The 19892-nt window shown below is 43.4% G+C and overlaps 1 protein-coding gene across 3 annotated transcripts in view; it reads right to left on the reverse strand.

Annotated features, from left to right (window-relative positions):
- Window positions 1-19892, reverse strand: part of ARFGAP3 (ARF GTPase activating protein 3) — a 60772-nt gene that overhangs the window by 7666 nt on the left and 33214 nt on the right. For 2 of the 3 annotated variants that reach the window (NM_001142293.2, NM_014570.5), the window contains 7 exons: window positions 19489-19535; window positions 18103-18242; window positions 13562-13690; window positions 12975-13097; window positions 6646-6777; window positions 4600-4723; window positions 2906-2996 (listed from right to left, as the gene is read on the reverse strand). In NM_001142293.2, the coding sequence (NP_001135765.1) occupies window positions 2906-2996; window positions 4600-4723; window positions 6646-6777; window positions 12975-13097; window positions 13562-13690; window positions 18103-18242; window positions 19489-19535 (786 nt within the window). The remainder of the gene's footprint in view (window positions 1-2905; window positions 2997-4599; window positions 4724-6645; window positions 6778-12974; window positions 13098-13561; window positions 13691-18102; window positions 18243-19488; window positions 19536-19892) is intronic. The other variant, XM_005261525.5, reaches the window with a different exon arrangement.

Genomic DNA, 19892 nt, shown 5'->3' on the forward strand with positions numbered 1-19892 from the left:
TGCTGGATTATAGGGGTGAGCCACCAAGCAGAATAGTTTCTTTTTTCCTTTTCTTTTTTTTGAAACAGAATCTCATTCTATTGCCCAGGCTGGAGTGTAATGGTGCGATCTCGGCCACTGCAACATCCCCGTCCCAGGTTCAAGCAATTCTTGTGCCTCAGCCGCCTGAGTGGTTGGGATTACAGGCGCCCACCACCACACCCAGCTAATTTTTTTTTTTTTTTTTTTTTTTTGAGATGGAGTCTCGCTCTGTCTCCAGGCTGGAGTGCAGCGGTGTGATCTCGGCACACTGCAACTCCCACCTCCCAGGTTCAAGCGATACTCCTGCCTCAGCCTCCGGAGTAGCTGGGACTACAGGCACATGCCACCACGCCAAGCTAGTTTTTGTATTTTTAGTAGAGATGGGGCTTCACCATGTTGGCCAGGCTGGTCTCGATCTCTTGACCTCGTGATCCACCCGCCTCGGCCTCCCAAAGTACTGGGATTACAGGCGTGAGCCACTGTGACTGGCCTAATTTTTGTATTTTTAGAAGGGATGGGGTTTCACCATGTTAGCCAGGCTGCTCTTGAACTCTCGACCTCAGGTGATCCGCCTACCTCGGCCTCCCAAAGTGTTGGGATTACAGGTGTGAGTCACCGTGCCTTGCCCAGAACAAGTTTTAAGAACTTGTTTTCTTAAAACAAGCTTTTACTTCAATAGGAAAGTATTAAAGACAAAATAAAAGAAAAAAAAATTTATAAAATAAAACAAGCTTTATGGAGGCAGAACACACAAAGCTCTTTGTTGAAATATGCTCTGAATAATAAAAAGTAAATATTTAATAAAAGTTGCTGGTGCCTGTAATTCCAGCTTCTTGGGAGGCTGAGGAGGGAGGTTTGCTCAAGGCCCGGAGTTTGAGACCAGCCTGGGCAACACAGTTAGACCCCGGCGGGGGCAGGGGAGTGAGTTTCTGGGTGGCCTCTCACCCCAGGGTGCACCTTACAATGACCACGAGGTGCCAGGAACCAGGGTTGGTTTGGCATCCACACAGGGTCAAAAAAATTTAATGGATCTTTGTTCTCTGAAAGGGAACAGGAAGGTAAACACAGGCTGCCACTATTTTTGTTCAGTAACTGGAAAGGCTGCTCTCATTTGATCTCCAAATATTTTTTTAAAAAAACAAACAGTGCTTCAGAGTAAAACTTCTATTGATTTAAATTACAAAGGCATCCATTGCAGGGAGTCAGGGGACTGAACAATGCAGGTCTCTGGACCGGCTGCTGGCTGTGCCAGGGCCCCTACAAGGCGACCCAGCACTGACCTGTGGGGCTGCTGGAGGTCTCCAAAGGTGGCCGGAGTGCCTCTCTGCCAGGGGTGGTCACAAAAGGAAGTTGCCCTGACAACAGGCCAGGACACTGAAAGTTTGGAGATGGAACAAGCCAATGAGCCTCACCTGCCCCCACCAAGACTCACTGCCAGGAAATGCCCAGTCAGCAAGTAACTGACTGCCCAAGGGAAACGAGGCCCCTCTGCTCAAGTCTGGGGTGAGGCACAGGGTGTGCTCCTGACCAAAGAGTGGCTCAGGGGAGCCGTGGCCCTGGCTGCGCACCCCCAGGCACCCTCACACTCTCACTGGCAGCGGATGTGCCGGGGCTTGTCCACTCTGGCCCTGGCCTCTGGCTCCTTGGGCTGCCTGGCTCTCTGCCAGCTGCTCTGCCAACACAACCCTTGTCTCACTTGCTGCCACCTGGCTAGGACTCTCCCTCCACTGCAGCACAGCAACTTGGCAGTGCCCACTGCACCCCGAGGGCCACAGTGTGTCTCTATAACATCCCCAAACCACAACCCAGAATGTCCGACACTCAGACCTCTCTCGAGCTGTTTCTCTTTGGACTCTGAAAACAGCTGTTCTCTGTGGCTGTAAGGCCAAGTGATAGCCTAGGTTGGTCACTTAGAGCCACAGCCAGCTCCTCTAGGCCTAGGGATGCTGAGGGTGCCAGGCTTGGAATGCCTGGCTCCTGAGAGTCATCCCTCCCCTTGGCTCTCCTGCTGATAAATGGCTTCCTGAAATGACCTCAGAGGACGCTGCCCCTTTCACGTTAACCACAGGGCCCCTCCTCCCCACTGTGGCCTGGCAGAGGCCTTTGTAGGGTACTCTCACAAGGCATCCCTCAGTCAGGGGGAGGGGAAGTCGAAGCAGAGGGGCCGGCGCTCTGAGGCCCACCACTGGGCTCACAGGCCGCCCCATCCTAGGCCATCCCAGCCCTGGGAGGACCAGACACCTCCTCGCTGGGGTCTGAACCCTGAAGAGGGATATGGGAGACAGGCAATTCCTCTCCACCTGCTCACTCCCAAAGCTGTGTTCTGTCTTCCCCAGAAGACAGATGCTGTTAGAGCCACATGTTTCTATCTGCCTCTGCCCACCCCTGGGGCCTGCTGTGTGCCAGACACTTGGTGGCACTTCACATTGCTCATTTAAGCCGCATGACAACCTTGTGAGGTGGTTTTATCCACCCCCGTTACAGAGGAGGAGACTGAGGCTAAAGACACCATGACATCCTCAAGGGCTCACAGCTAGAGGGTGGTGAGGATCACACGGGAGCCCGGCGCTGTCCACCTCTAAGGCTAAGATAGCACATGGTATTTCATAGCACAGCCGCACTCAGCTAGAAAACACTCCTCTATGACAGTGTTCAGAAGGATGACTTGCCAGGCAATGATGGGATGTTGCTTTAATTTCATGACTTGGTCTCCTTACGTGTGAAGCCTGGAATAGTAACTTCTGCTCTACCTGACTTATAGCAGAGATCAGAGCATCGAATAATGGTTGCTAAAATATCTTGGAAAAGGAAACAGTCCTATCCAGATGAAATGTGTTCATACCGTAGACATGACAGAGACCAGCTCTTGTTCAGTGCCCCCTACCTGCTGGCTGCTTCCTCGGCTCCTCGAACAGATCAGCCGAGCTTATGGAGGAACTTGCCGACAGCCTCTCTAGGCGGGCCCTGGTCTCATACTAGAGAAGACAAGGAAAAGGAAATGTTAGGCTCCAAAGATTGTGGGCAGTTTTGCAAAAAGAATCACTGAAGAGCTGTCATTTGAAAGTGTTTGACCCCCAGGCTCTTTCTTTCCAACAGTTACTGAATGCCACTGCCAAGGCCAGGTCCTGCGGGACAGCACAAAGCTCATGTTCTGCATGGGAGGCAGGTCACAGGCAGACTGATCAACATACAACACCTCAGCCACGATGGCCAGTGCGGAGGCCGTCGGAGTGAGGGAGGGAGAGCGGCATCTCTCTCCTGGTGCTGCTTCTAGCCAGCTGTCAGCAAAGGCCACTCTAAGAGTCTCTTTTCCAAGCCCCATGACACTATTTTAAAACTGAACTTGAATGTCAACTTTGAAGCAAGGCAGATTTTATGGACTGTGGGAACAGCAAGGGGCAATTCTACTTTCGAAATGATGGCGAAATGTTACACTTGCAGAAGTTTAAATTTCTGCAAAATACATTCAGCACATTTTAGGAAACCATCATCCAAATAGTCAGAGGCACACTAGCAATTCAGGATGAGAGGAAAGACGTAAACCTCCCCACTTCCACTTGAGTCTTACAGCTTAGCAAGACTTCACTATGATGAGTTCATTAACATTTCTTTCTTTTTTTTTTTTTTGAGACAGAGTCTCACTCTGCTTCTGGGTTCGAGCGATTCTCTGCCTCAGCCTCCCAAGTAGCTGGACTAGAAGCGCGTACCACCATACCGAGCTAATTTTTGTATTTTTTGTAGAGACGGAGTTTCATCATGTTGGCCAGGCTGGTCTCGAACTCCTGGCCTCAAGTGATCCACCTGCCTCAGCCTCCCAAAGTGCTAGGATTATAGGTGTGAGCCACAGTGCCTGGCCAAGTTCATTAACATTTCTGAGAAAAGCCAACAACCTGAAAATAAATATATGCACTCCTCAGAAACATATCTGGCTGGGCGTGGTGGCTCACGCCTGTAATACCAGCACTTTGGGAGGCCGAGGCAGCCAGATCACCTGAGGTCAGGAGTTCAAGACCAGCCTAGCCAATATGGTGAAACCTCATCTCTACTAAAAATACAAAAATTAGCCAGGTGTAGTGGTGCACGGCCGTATTCCCAGCTACTTGGGAGGCTGAGGCAGGAAAATCGCTTAAACTTGGGAGGCGGAGGTTGCAGTAAGCTGAAATCATGCCACTGCACTCCAGCCTGGGTGACAGAAGGAGGCTCCGTCTCAAAAAAAAAAAAAGAAACATATCTATGTGCTTCATTTCACTATGTTTAAAAGTTATTAAGTAAATTACAGCTGCACCAACAATTGAAATATATTCAAAAGATACTGGATAATGGCTATTCAAAACACCAAGAGAGGAATAAGACAACTGTGAGATAAGTCCTTGTCTTGTAAACATTCCTCTTGCTGAGGTAGCAAGCACATGATCAGTTATACAGACCTGGGTTCAAGTCCTGACTCCAGCACTTTCAGGCCAGAGGGCATCTGGCAGCCTGAGCCCAGCTCACTCAGGATCTCCTCCCCGACAATGCCCACACCCACACTTCCTTCCTGCATTATGGGGCACCCAAAGAAACTCTCTGGACCCTTACATCAGCCTGGGATTGTCTTCCAAAATACATATCTGATGAAATGGCCTTGACATTGCCAAACTTCTTCTGGGCCTCATCTGTATTTTCAACTGGCTCATAATCTGGCTTGCGGCGAGCAGTAGGTCTGCAATTAAAAACAGCCAAATTAGGTTAAACTAATTTGAGGTGAAGCAAATGTGTTTCATACTCATTTTATTTTTTAAAATGCCAACAGCAGTAAATTTTGTAAAAGGATTTTAGGCTGTTTTTAAAAGCCTGAAAATTCTAATTAAAAAAAAAAGAATAAATACCCAAACGATACAAAATTTGAAGGAATTTCTGTTTAAAACGGGGTCTGTTATTTCACATTTCAGTTCAAATATGTTATATCACATTTCAGATCAACTGGGTAAACACTGAATACATTGTTTGGAATGTCCATAGGACACTGCTCTCTCTACATTGTATAGGTTATAAAATGTCCCAGTTACCTGGGACAATTTCAAGTCACACCTGTTGTCCCAACATATTAGTAGTACCCCCTTGCACTCTCAGAAGTCCTCTGGTTGGAAAATAAATTCATTCATAATCACCAAAAACTGGAGACAGCCCTTCAGCAGGTGAATGGATAAACTTGGCAAGTAAGAGGAATGAATACAAGAATGAATGAGTCTTCCCCAAGTGTACTAAGACAAGTTAAACCAGAGTAGGAAGGCCAATTGCTACATGACTCCATTTATATGATATCTGGGAAAGGCAAAATTGTAAGGCCAGAAAACAGACCTGGGGTGACCAGGGGCCAGGGGCAGGGGAGGGGGGACTACAAAGGGCATGGGGAAAATTTGGGGGTGATGGGAACTGTTCTGTTTCTTGGTTTTGGTGGTAATTACATGAATGTATGTGCTTGTCAGAACTGTAAGTTTAAAAAGATGAATTTTACTATATGTAAATAATACCTTAAAATTGGGGGAAAAAAGGCCGGGTGCGGTGGCTCACGCCTGTAATCCCAGCACTGTGGGAGGCCAAGACGGGTGGATCATGAGGTCAGGAGATCGAGACCATCCTTGCTAACATGGTGAAACCCCGTCTCTATTAAAAATACAAAAGAATTAGCCAGGCGTGGTGGCGGGCGCCTGTAGTCCCAGCTACTCGGGAGGCTGAGGCAGGAGAATGGTGTGAACCCAGGAGGCGGAGCTTGCAGTGAGCTGAGATTGCACCACTGCACTCCAGCCTGGGTGACAGAGCAAGACTCCATCTTAAAAAAAAAAAAAAAAAAAAAAAAATTGGGGAAAAAGGTGAAACCTTCCTGACCTAGGCCACCCCTGACCCATGGATCAGAATCTTCAGGGAAGAGGACTCCACACACACATTTCTTTCAAGGTCCACAGAGGATTCTGATGTGCACTTCCTATTTAGAATCAGTAATTTAAAATCAAAACAGGCTGGGCACGGTGGCTCACACCTGTAATCCCAGCAGTTTGGGAGGCCGAGGCAGGCGGATCATTTGAGGTCAGGAGTTTGAGACCAGCCTGGCTGGTGAGGCAACCGTCTCTACTAAAAGTACAAAAATTAGCCTGGCATGATGGTGTGCACCGGTAGTCTCAGCTACTCGGGAGGCTGAGGCAGGAGAATCGCTTGAACCTGGGAGACGGAGGCTGCAGTAAGCTGAGATTGCACCACTGCACTCCAGCCTGGGCAACAGAGTGAGACTCTGTCTCAAAAATAAAACAAAACAAAACAAAAAAACAAAATCAAAACAATATTCCTGAAATAGTAGAACAAAATCATTTACTAGTCTTACAAAAGGTTTCAAAAGGTTTTCCTTTTTGAGGGGGACTTACTCTGTTGACCAGGCTAGAGTACACTGGCGTGATCATAGCTCACTGCAGCCTTGTACTCCTGGGCTCAAGTGATCCTTTGACCTCGGCCTCTTAAAGTGCTGGGATTATGGGAATGAGCCGCCGTGCCCAGCCCCTTACAAGGGTTTTCATGTCATCATGTTATCAGCAATTTTTTCCCAGAAATGCATGGATTCACTACTACAACCCCACAGTTTTGCATTCATACCTGTCTGAATAGCCTGTGGTTTTCAGAACTGTTTCAGTATCTTTGCTGGTCTCTTTTTTCCAATAGGAATCTGAACTGTCATCCCAGCTAGAGAAAGAACTGCTCCTTAACTCCACTGGCTCGTCAAAGTAACTGTAGGAGCAAGAGTACAACAGTGACTTTGGAGGTCCTTGTTGACACTCGTCCTGGGCTCTCTCACTTCCACAGATGTGGGGGATGCCTCCTTGAAGTTAATGGCAGTCACATAACTAGGTCTAGCCAATGAGACAGGAGCAGACACGAGGTGTGTCATTTCCAAGGCCTTTCAAGTACCTGTGTTCAACCTTGCCCAGTCCTCTCTTCCCAAGCTACATGGAAGAGATTGTGTTCCAGGTGCTACAGTCTCAGGTAGGTGAAACCTCCATCAGTCTGGACAATCAAGATGACACATGGAGGACAGGTACTCTAGAGAACCACCTGAACCCTTAGCTGACTTTATGTGAAAAAGAAATCAATTGTCATTGTGTTCAGCCCTTGAGATCTGGGGGATGTTTATAACCTTAGTATAACTTGGCCTATCCAGACAACACAGGGCATCTTTAAATGTTATCTACCACAGGTTACACATTTCACTGTCTTTAGGTCTCATTCCGCCTGGTTAGGCAATCACAAATAACACTGCTGGGCCTAGAGAACTGACTCCATACAAGGAGCTTCTTGTTGGCAATCCCTTCCGTGTTAAGCACATTCAATGAAAATGATGTAAATGATGCTCATTAACCTCCTCCTGGAGTTGGATACAAAGCTATGGATCATGATCACTGGACCATTCTGGGGATAGTCTTTCAGCCTGGAGCCTGCAGTAAACTTGATCTGATTTGCAAGCATCCCAGGAGAGCCTGGCCTTCAGATCAGTTTACACTTTAATTAGCCAATTGTCACTGAGCAGGGCATTGCTCAGAGAGCAGCACTCAGTGTTGGCTTTTGGTCCTGTGTGATTAGAGAAAAATCTTTGACCAAGAGCAGCAAGGTCTGCCTGGAACAGGAGAGACTGACAGGCGAGGTGGATGTGCCAAAACCTTGAGAAAAAGTGACCATCAACCAGCCAGGCACGGTGGCTCACACCTGTAATCCCAGCACTTTGGGAGGCCAAGGCAGGTGGATTGCTTGAGCCTGGGAGTTCCAGACCAGCCTGGGCAACATGGCAAAGCCCCATCTCTACAAAAAATGCAAAATAAAAAATAAATAAACAAATAAAATAACCGTTTCCTGACCATCTCCGGGGATTAAAAGAAAAAATTAATGGGGCATGGTGGCACGCCTATAGTCCCAGCTACTTGGGAGGCTCACCTAAGCCTGGGAGGCCGAGACTGCAGTGAGCCATGATCATGCCACTACACTCCAGCCTGGGTGACAGAGTGGGATACTGTCTCAAAAAAAAAAAAAAAAAAAAAAAGGGACTGTGCCATGCCAGAATTCACGATAGCTTAGGATGGAAAAGCAGTCTGGCCAGATATACACACCTCATTAAGGCAGTCCAAGAAGTTCAGAGGAGAGAGGCAGATCCCAGGGAGGTCTTAGGAAAGGAAGGGTGACAGAAGAGAATGCAGAGGCCTTAACAGACATCATCCAGGTTTTCTCCAGAGAGTAAGGACAGGAAGCACACTGGAAATAAGATGAGCACCAAGCTCCGTGCTATAAGGAGTTGCACAGAAGATGCAGATCATAGGAGGTCAGAGGGGCCAGTAACCAAAGGCCAATATAAGAGGGAAGCAAGAACCCATAAGAGCAAAGAGGCCAGGGACCTCGGTGAGCTAAGATCTGGGTGGGGGAAATGCTAAGAACACATTTACTCTTTCTTGGCAGAAAACAAAACGAAACAAAAAAGGGACAGAGGATAAACTGCTGTTGGAGCAGATGGTATGATATTACATCCTTAATAGACAGAAAGTAGAATTTCTAAATGTGGCTTCTGCCTTCTCTGGCAAGAAGGTCATTAAGAACAAATCTCATGACACTAGCATCTACTCCTTAGGAAGGAAAACGTGGTGTTCAAAGTGTATCTGGATTTCAGCTAGAAACCGACCAGGCTCTCCCTATGGCGGATGAGTGGATCTGTACTGCACCCAGGCTCTGCCTGGAGGAAGAGAGATGACCGATCCCCTTTCAGAGAAGAGAGATCAGGACACTGAAGGAACCGGAAGTTACATCGGAGGAAGGTTCAAAAGATGTGGGATGTGTGCTGGCCTGCAAGGTGATATTCACATGTTTGAGGGACTTATTTTAAGGCACCATGAAAGAACTAAGATCAATTCAGTGAGGAATTTTAAAACTACTTAATAAGCACCTACGAGGAGTCAGGCACTCTGCTAGGGGAAGACAAAGGGCAAGAAGACACATTCAGCTCCTGCCCTCATGAGGCTTGGGAACTGACTTATGGAAGGGAGGCTGACTTGAATGCAGAAGCCTCAGAAGCTGCATTAATGAAAGGCAGAGTTTCTCACGGAGCTGACCTGGGACCAAATGGCTGCCTTGAGGAGAAGGAAGGGTGTAGTAGAGGCTGGACTGCCCTGGAGTGGGAAGAGGGGGGTCAGCACTGGACTGGTGCAGGGTGAGGGTGGGGTGGAACTTCCAGGTTCTTCATGACTCTGTGATACTAAATTTTGTAGATTTAGCAACACTCTAAGGAAATAACATTCTTCATTCTTATAAGCCAATGTACTTATCCTGAAATGTAGAGGAATCAGATTACTTTTAAGTGACTGAACTATTCAGAAGTCAAAGAAGAGAGACAGCCATCGGCTTGGGTCCCCCTGACCAGCATGAGCCTGTGAGGCAGCAGTCCATGCGTGGGCTGGCTGGCGGCTTCTCTGTCTTCCAGTCATCCACGAGAGGCTCTCTGTGCTCATGCTAAGCAGGAGCAACTCAGTAGGAGGACTGGCAACTCACTAAGAGGACCGACAGACCACCAGCCAGGACTCCAGCTGACCTTTGGAAGGATGGGGTGAGTGGGACGACTAACGGCCACTAGTCCCTGCTCAGAAACACACAGACTTTCCTTCCTCATCTCCAAACCTTTATTGGCTTTCTAATGTTTTGATTGTATAGCTCTCAATGCTTTTTTACTTTTATTTTTCCCCTCCCACTCTGTCTTTACCCAATCTTGAAAACATTCCTTAAAATCCCTTGATAAGAGCACCCTAATATCACATTTGCTCTGATTTAGAGCTATAGACAGTTGTCTATTCTAATTAAGGCCATGCTGGCTTTATAAGGCTGAGCAAATTGTTCTAGTTTCATTATCTTGTACTCAATATATAATTATACTGTTTATATCCTAGAAATAATGGAACTCAATAATAAAAAAAAACAAGGACAGGTTTTATCTTATTTTTAACAGAAACAGAACTCTTTCATAATTCATAATGTTCAAGTTCTAATGGGCTAATGAATAATTTGAAAGCAATAAGAGCTCTTCATCGAACTAATATATTTGCTTTCAGAGTCCATGTTTATTTTACCTCAGTTGCCAAAGTACCTAATAGTATCCTCATTCTACTAGTGGTGGTCACCATGCCAAGGAGGACTAGAGAAGGCATTTATGTTCCTATTAGACAATCTGCAGGTCGTGATAAACAATACACCAAGGTCTCTCTGGAAAGAGTCCAGGAGGTGTGGTCTATATAAATATGCCATCTGCTCCCAGGTTTCAAACCATAAGTAACAGTTTCATAGCAACAGTGGCTTCTGGGTCTAACTCTTTTGATTAAGCCTTTGAAGAAGGGGAAGTCTGAAAGATCCCTGAAGCCTTTACAAGGCAGAAAGGCCCCACAGGGGCCTGTCAGTGACCTGGAGCCAGTGAGGGTCTCTGAAGTTCCCATTAGGCAACCTCACTTAGAGCTTTCTTACCAACCCGGCTACCAAGCAACAGTACTGATTTAACTGAAACTTTCTCTTTTTTTTGAGAGAGGGTCTTGCTCTGTTGCCCAGGCTGGAGTGCAGTGGTGCAATCTAATCTCACTGTAACCTCTGCCTCCCAGGCTCAAGTGATCCTCCACCTCAGCCTCCCAAGCAGCTGGGACTACAGGCATGTCCACCATGCTAGGCTAATATTTTTGAAATTTTTTGTAAAGATGAGGTCTCACTATATTTCCCAGTCTGGTCCTGAATTCCTGGGCTCGAGTGATCCTCCTGCCTTGGCTTCCCAAAGTGCTGGGATTATAAGTGTGAGCCACCATGCCCAGCCTAAACTTTCTTTACCTTCCTACACTATCATCTGCAGAAGTTGCTAATAAGCAGTGAAATAATCAAAGATGTTGTGAGAAGCCACACAGGCTAATACAGACCCGTACTGCCAAGAGTTTCCTCTGACCCAGACTTAGTCCACCATTTAATATTCACATCTGAAATGATCTGACACGTATGTAGTTTCCAAATCAAATTACACATTTAATTTTACTCTGTGTAAAATCTATTTACATACCTTTAAAAGGCATGATTTGGGTATCACTTCTGAGTAAAGTGAAACTTGGTGCATTATACAGGCTGCAAAGGATAGGCAAAAATATAAAACCACCCAAGTCTCTGAAAATACCACCATGGAACACCACTAAACTACTACTTTTTTTTTTTTTTTTGGTAAAATCCCTGGACTTGAAATAATTTAGAGCTATACTTAGAGACATTTTTAAGGATAGTATTCTTTATACAATTCCTTGTCTATAAACATTGATAGGAAAATATACAATTTCACAATTAGATCCTAGGTAATATATTTATATCTGTTCTATATATGAAGTGCATGTGTGTGGGTGTGTATATATACACACACACATATATATCTTTTATACATATGAAAACGCTTCAAACCTATAAATTGCCAGACAACTCTAATGCCCTCAGAGACATAAGTGATGGAGCCTTCCAGTAAGCACCGCCCATTTCCGACAGGAACACCTTCAGTTTTCATGAACTGCTAACCCAAAGGTGGTCCTCAATGTGGTTAGTTTAACTACCTAACAATAGTAATCAAACATTTAGGCTGGGCGTGGAGGCTCATGCCTGTAATCTCAGCACTTTGGGAGGCTGAGGCCAGCAGATCACTTGAAGTCAGGGGTTTGAGACCAGCCTGGCCAACATGGCGAAACTCCATCTCTATTAAAAATACAAAAAATTAGCCGGGTATGGTGGCACACGCCTGTAGTCCCAGCTACTCAGGAGGCTGAGGCATAAGAATTGCTTGAACCTGGGAGGTGGAGGTTGCAGTGAGCCGAGATCATGCTACTGTACTCCAGCCTGGGTGACAGAGTGAGACTCTATCTCATAAACAAACAAACAAACAAAAAACATTTAGACTGAATCACATCTCTTAAACTGAGTTTCTATATTATCATATAGCAGCTAAACATAGTAAGAGCCAAGCACCATTCTAAACGTGCTATAGCATTCGCAGTATCTCATTCGATCCTCACACAACCCTATTGGGTAGGTATTACTAGGGTCCCTAATTTACAGATGAGGAAGCTATAGCACAAAGAAGTTAAATAACTTGGCCTAGGTGACAAGTAAGTGAAAGCCAGGATTCAAATCCATGCCATCTGGCCCCTGGGCCCATATTCTTACCCCTCTGTTCCTGAGCTGTGCCCTCTCCAGTGAAATCACAGGTTCATTTTGTGCCTTTTTAGCAGACCTCTCACTGGGCCGAGCAGGTCCTTACGAAGTGAACTGACTCAAGTTTAAACTTGTTCTCTTTGCTCTGGCAGGCCACTTGACCGTGCACTGCTCTCCACAGTCAGCTTCACACTAGAGTTATGCATTTTGTCTCAATAAGATAGTGAGTGCTGAAGGAGAGAAACCTAGGCTTTACTCTGGGGTCCCCTCAAAGTACAATCATCTTCCTCATTAATAAATACACACACCCATAGAGTTTATTTAATGCACTATTGTACCAACTGGAGTTTTCTGAAGCTGGCATTCTGAAGCACAGAAATCTGCTGAAGCCCTGAGAAAGAGCTGTGAAATATTCCCACTGCTGGACTAAACAACACATACCTTCAGGATTTTGCAGTTTTCTCCAATTTCATAATTTAAATAAGCACATCTCTCCTACCTCTAATTTTAACTCACAGTTGCTGATTTTATTGCCAAACATTTTAATATTAGCCAACGTTGTTCTTTTACAAACGTTTCTCTAATTTTTACTCCAAAGAACAGCTCTGGCTCCAGCCAGAGCTTTTAAAAACAGTGAAGTAAATTGATTTGTAATTTCTCCTAATGCAAATAAACTAATAAATCCATACTAGTCACTGCTTTTCAAAATGACACTTCAACGATGATTTGTAATACAGTACCTTGAGCTGGAAGTAAAATATGAATCGTCACTGTCATCATTATACTTTTTTCTTGGTTTTGCCATAATGGGTGATTCCTGCTCTATGGTCTGCATATCTGAAGTCACTGAATGTGAAATAACACTTGAGAAAACAGAAAAATATATATATCAGTAAGTTCACAAACTTTTGTTTCACCAAAATAAACAAAGCTTTAATTTATGTTTTGAACAAAGACAAATGTATTCGAGGGGTTAAAAACATAAGCAATAAAACAATTTTTTTTTCTGGTGCAAGCTTTCAAAAATGTTAAAATTTTGTGAGGACTGTGTCTACACCAAATGCAGTCACAAATATTGGTTATGTCCATGGTTTCCTCTCTGGTAGGTGCTTCATGTAAAGAGCCAGACCTTTTTCCTTCTTTTAAAGAGCCAAATTTGAAATTTTTCATGTTATACTGAATACCAGAGCAAAGCAAAAATAATTAGAGAAGTTAATGAATAACAAAAAAAAATCTCTAAAGTTGAAACTAACACAGTCCAAGAAAAATCCACTGATGATTGACACACTGTTTTAAATTCTAACTCCAAGAAAGCAGTCTCACATACCTTCTGCAATTTCCAAATCCCATGCCGAGTCTGTCTGAGTCAACATTTTTTTTGCCACTAATGTTCATCTTTTCGTCTTTCTTCATTTGAATTTCAAGATCCTTATAGGCTAATCGTAATGATGAAACACTGCCAGAAAAACCAAATACTCCTTAATTTAGCTTTAATCCTTTGTTCTTATATTAAAATAGCAAGCAAAATTAAACATGTAATTTATACTTTTAGCTTCATGATTCTTTCCATAATTAACAATTATGAAGGCAAGTTGGTGTTTTTTCTACCTGCCTTTTTTGAACAGACGTTTAAGAAAATTTGAATGAGCTTACAGCCACTTTCTCATTGCTGCTCAACCTATACCACTGTTCAAGTTTAGTTCATGTTACCTATTATTGTATAATAACATAATGTATACCCAAATCACTTCCATATGGGATAGTGAAAAGCAAGATTTCTTACTTGGATTAATATTTTATTACACTTCCACATTACATAACAAAGCATGAGGTTAGTCTCACTAGTCTATCTTGATTTAAGATAAATAAATAAATATATAAATTTGACTTTACAAATAGATCAACTAAGGGGCTATTACTTAATTGTAAAAGGATCCTTCCATTTACAAAATAATTTCTTGTAGATACATCTCTATGCAATCAGGCTTCTGAGAGCATTTAAAATGGGATAGTGACTCATCAGCTAATAGACTCTTTAGCACTACTAGTCAGTCAAATACCACTCTTCTATTTAAAATCAAATATCTGCTACAAGCAGGACACCAAAGGGGTAAAAAGGTGTACAAAACATTGTCCTTGCTCTCAGATTTCTAAAAATGCAATAATGACTTAATTTTTCATAAAGAAAACTATGCCTATATAGCAAGAATAGCAGTTTGCATCATATTTTAGTGAGACAGCACAACATTTCAGGGCCCTGAAAAATGATCTATCTAACTTACAAGGATTTCTAAGTTATCATCCACTTTATAAAAACATGTAAAATACCATGAATTCCTGGCAAAAGAGGCATTGTATAAATTCCTAGTAATATAAATAAATTTCTGCATAGTAATAGGGAAAGACAACAGAATTTCTTTCTGTTTTTTGAAATGGAGTCTTGCTCTGTCGCCCAGGCTGGAGTGCAGTGGTGCAATCTTGGCTCACTGCAACCTCCACCCACGAGGTTCAAGCAATTCTCCTGCCTCAGCCTCCCGAGTAGCTGGGATTACAGGCACCTGCCACCATATCCAGCTAATTTTTCTATTTTTAGTAGAGACGAGGTTTCACCATGTTGGCCAGGCTGGTCTCGAACTCCTGACCTCAGGCGATCTGCCTGCCTCTGCCTCAAAGAGTCCTGGGATTACAGGCATGAGCCACCGCGCCCGGTGCAGAATTTCTTATTAGGAAAAAGTAATCTTGCTTTTGCTGTTTCTTTTCTTTAATGAGTCAAGCAAGATTTCTTTGGTTTTCACATGGCAGTTTGTTTTCCTTACTCTTCCTACAGAACAGGTTATGGCTATTTTATTCCTTAACAAATAAATACTACTTTTTCTTTTGGAGGAAAACAATAGCTCTGTTTAAAATCATGAATACATATAATTACAGCAACAGATTCTTCTGGAGAAGATGCATGGGGATGAAAAGGTTCTATTAGAAAGATAAGAGATGGAAAAGTTTTCCTTCCTAGGTAATCTGACATGGACTGGGTCACTCACTAAAAGCATGCACTTTGATGCTTACGAGAACATCTCTCTGGAAGCACCAACAGTTAAGAAGTCAGAACACCGCGTTTCTCAGAACTTCAGGAGTGCTTACGGGTACTGGCTCAAGGGAGGACTGCAGGACACAGATCAAACAAGCGGAGCAGCTCAAGGCAGCTCTGCCTCTTCCTTCCTTCCTACCAAGTGGGCACACAGAGAGCCTCTGAGGACGGGCTGGGAAACTGCTAGAAGGAGACCAGGATGCTGCATGGGCTGTTTAGTTTCACACTCTGACAGTACAAGAACAACACTGTTCTGACAGTTTACTGAGCCGAAATAACTTTATTTACAGCCATTAAACAAACTAACTTGCAACATAACACTCATGTATTAAGGATAAAACACCTGTACTTTCTACGGGTTTGAGTGGCAGTGGTGGTCATTAAGGCACAGTGGTGTGGTTGTTCTGAACAAGGCCATGAAAGTTGCCAAACTGGCTTCTCAAATCAAATTCATAAATCTTCCGATCTGCATCTTTGTTTTTGTGATGTATTAAACACTCCTAATGAAAGATACAAGTGAAGTCTGGTTGTTGCTTCCTGTTTTCAGGAAGATTAGCATGTTAATATTAGAAGTAACAACCAGACTTCACTCCATCCAGCTTACCTGCAGCTTCTCCATCCAGCTTACTTGCAGGAAGGAAGCTGATCAGGGCCCGATTTTACACACGCTCTGGGAAAACCTCAAGCATGAGTAATCTGGACAGAGCCTACTCCCAAATACCAAGAGAAGCCATCGAAACACTCAAATCTAACCTTTCCCTTTGCCAGGGTCAAAAACTTAGCTTAGTAAGAGAAATTAAAGTCTGTGACAAGTCAACGTAAATTTTTGTACACAAAGCATTTCAAACCATATTCGACCTAAATACAGTTCAGTGCTGCCCCCTATGTTCTGTGAATTAAATGACAAGGAGAAACAACTATCAACTTCAAATTATTTGGGTTTACCTTATAAACTCCATCTTAGCGAACCGTCAGTATGAACAGTAAGACAGTACGAAAAGTAGTTGCATTTACTGAGCACCTACTATGTGCCAGGTACTGTTTGATGCACTTCAATGAGCATTTAAGCTATTAAACTAATCCTTAAAACCACCTCATAAAATAGGTGTTATTTTCTTCATCATACAGTCTATAGTAACTCAAGCTAAAACAGATAAAATACACATGAAAGTAAGAGAAAACACCATTAAAAAACACACACATAAAAAATAGGGATCCAGGTTACTTTTCCTTTCTGTGTAGCATGCACCCTCCGCCCTTCTCTCCTGATCTTTGGTACAGTCACGGTTTCCAGAAGGCCATCTTTCTCTTCTGATTTCAACACAAATGAAAACCTCTCAAGAGCCTTACAAAAGTCTACGGAAAACCGATCTCTTCACTGGCCTCCTGGCTTCCAGTCTCCTCCCCTCTTCCTGGCCTGGGTATCACTACCGAACTCATTCTCCCGAGACGCCCCTTCATGACAGCACTGCTGAAGGAGCTGTTTCTCTTGGGTAAGTGGACAACCACAGCCTGACTTTAAGGTGCTCCACATTATCGTTCCAACTCCTCCACTTCAGGCAGGCCCCCGACACACACGATCATTCCACCTTCTTCATTCTCTGAAACTCTTCCTTCTCCCTCTCCAAGATCCAGGCTCAGAACCTCTGGAGACACGACCAGAGCCATAGTCTTCCATCATGTATTTAGAATTTAGTCACAGAGTCCAACAGGGCTTCAGATTATAAATACTTTTTTCATTATGCAGATATAATTCACATACCGTAAAACTCACCCTGTTAAAGTGCATGATTCAGTGGTTTCAGCACATTCACAAAGCTGTGCCATCATCACCACTAACTCCAGAACACTTTCAGCAGTCCAAAAAGCAGGCCTGGACCATTAGCAGCCACTCTCCATTCTCTCCTCACCCCAGGCCCTGGCAACCAGTAAGTTGCTTTCTGTCTCTACGGATTTGCCTATTCTGGACATTGCATATAGACAGAATCATATCATGTGATCTTTTATGACTGGCTTCTTTCTTAGCATAAACTTTTCAAGGTTTATCCATGTTGTGGCCAATATCAGGACTACATTCCTTTTTGTGGCTGAGTAATAGTCCATTGTATGGACATACCACATTTTCTTTCTCATTTATCAGTTGGTAGACATTTAGCTTATTTCTACTTTTTGGCTATTAGGATTAACGCCACTATGAACATTCATGCACGAGTTTGTGTGTGGTTGCACAGATGTAAGTTTTAATTTCTCTTGAGTATATACTTAGGAGTAGATTTGCTGGGTCACATGGAAACTTTACATTTAACTTTCTGAAGGACTGCCAAACTGTTTTTCACAACAGTGGCACCATTTCACATTGCCATCAGCAATGTACAAGGGTTCAAATTTCTCCACATCCTAGCCAACACCTGTTACTGATTTTTTTATTATAGCTTCCCTAGAGAGTACACAGTGGTATCTTATTGTGGCCTTGATTTGCATTTCCCCAACTCTAATAATGTGAAGCATGTTTCATGTGTAAACACCTCCATGCATCTCTGTCTTTCCCTTCTCACTGATGTCACTCCAGTCTTGCCCTTACAGCCTCAGCAGAGTGTTGCTGCCCCCATCGTCTCTTTCCCTTCCAATCCACATGCCAATGCAATATCAGTTTTCATAAAACTGAATTTTGCAGTACCCTCCCTTCCCCCCCCACACAAAAATACATGGCATTTGGAAAGCAAAATCTTGAGTTAATAGTTTTATTCCCTGAAAATGTATTAATATAATGAAATTAAACTTACATTGATTCTTCTTTAGATACCACCTTGGCCAGGTCTTCCTGCTCCTTCATTTTATCCGCAGCTTGAGCTTGTTTTTCAATTTCATTAAAGCATGTGTTTGCCAGTTTCTGAGCTCCCAAACTTCCTTTTTTGGCCCCAAGCTAGAACATATATAAGACTATAGTCTACACGAGCTGTTTGAAAGCTTCTGTGACTACAGCTAACATTTCCTAAGGGTTAGGACCTGCCAGGCACTGTGACAAGCACTCTACATTTGTTCTGTGGCTTAGTCCTCAGAACTCTGTGAAGTTAGTATTATTCCAGGAGTCCCTCAGCATGGGGGAATTGGTTTCACGACCCTGTGGATAACAAAATCTGCGATGATCAAGTCCCTTACGTAAAAGGGCGTAGTATCTGCATTTAACCCACGTGTAGCCTCCAGTATACTTTCAATCATCTCTAGATTACTTATTATGCCTAAATAATGTAAATGCTATGAAAATAGTTACTAATTCTGTGTTTTTATTTGTATTGTTTTTACTGTTGTATTCTTACTTTTTATTTTTTTTTACTTTTTTTGAGACAGGCTCTCATGCTGTTGACCAAGCTGGAGTACAGTGGCACAATCTCAGCTCACTGCAACCTCTGCCTCCTGGGGTAAAGCGATCCTCCCACCTTAGTATCCCGAGTAGCTGGGACTACAGGCACGGGCCACCAAATCCGGCTACTTTTTGTATTTTTTGAAGAGATGGGATTTCACCATTTTGCCCAGGCTGGTCTTGAACTCCGGGGCTCAAGTGATCCACCTGCCTCGGCCTCCCAAAGTGCTGGGATTACAGGCGTGAGTCACTACGCCTGGCCTATTGTTTTTTTTTCCCCCCCAAATAATTTTGATCTGCAATTGGTTGAATCCATGGATGCAGAACCCCTGGATACAGAGGGCTGAGGAAAGTAAAGCTCATATAAGTTAAGGAATGTGGCCAAGGTCACACAGCCAATACATGGCAAGGCCAGGATTCAAACCCTGCACCTGCCTCCAGAGCTGGTGCTCCGCAATGCTTCGCTGTATCTGAAAACTCACCAGACAACCACCCTCTAAGCCTCACAAGATGTCATTGCTTATTGATCTACACAAGCAGGAGACAAATTCCCAGGGGACCTTTGTTAATTTTTTTCAGAATTTTGTCATAGACAGAAAAAATGTTAAATAATCATTCTAGAAAAAATTCAATAAGTATAACATTAATCTCTTTGACATTAATCTCTTTGAACAAAACATAGACTCCTTATATCAAAGCTACATTTATTACAAGATGGTTCAAAAGAATAAAACTAAAATGACGAAGCGGCTTTTTAGTTTTAAAGCTTAACTACCAGATTTTTATATATAAAGTACATAATACTCACGCCTTTTTTAGCTTGATTTGGTTTCTTTTTTATGATAGAGGATACCTCTGCCAAAAAATAAAAATTAAAAAGTAAGACCAATAGAAATAATTTTTCTTTTTTAGTGTGTCTTTTAAAATTCTAAGATACTGCACTTTATTATTTAAGAGATGATAACATTTTCCACTTTAGTTTCTCATCCAGAAGACTCAAGTTGATAAGCATATTTTGGATTAACAGAACTTTGTCAAAATGGTGTCCTCAGTATTTCCACGCAGTCTCCAAACTCAGAGAAAATGTATTTTTTTTTTTAACAGCACACTGAAGAGAAATAGAGCCTGAGCTTGCCCCTCTCAGTACTTTCTTCAGGAGCATTTAAAAAATATATTACAACAACTTTTTTTTTTTTTTTGAGACAGGGTCTC

The sequence above is a fragment of the Homo sapiens genome, chromosome 22 (genome assembly GCF_000001405.40).
Source record: "Homo sapiens chromosome 22, GRCh38.p14 Primary Assembly".
Lineage (NCBI taxonomy): Eukaryota > Metazoa > Chordata > Mammalia > Primates > Hominidae > Homo > Homo sapiens.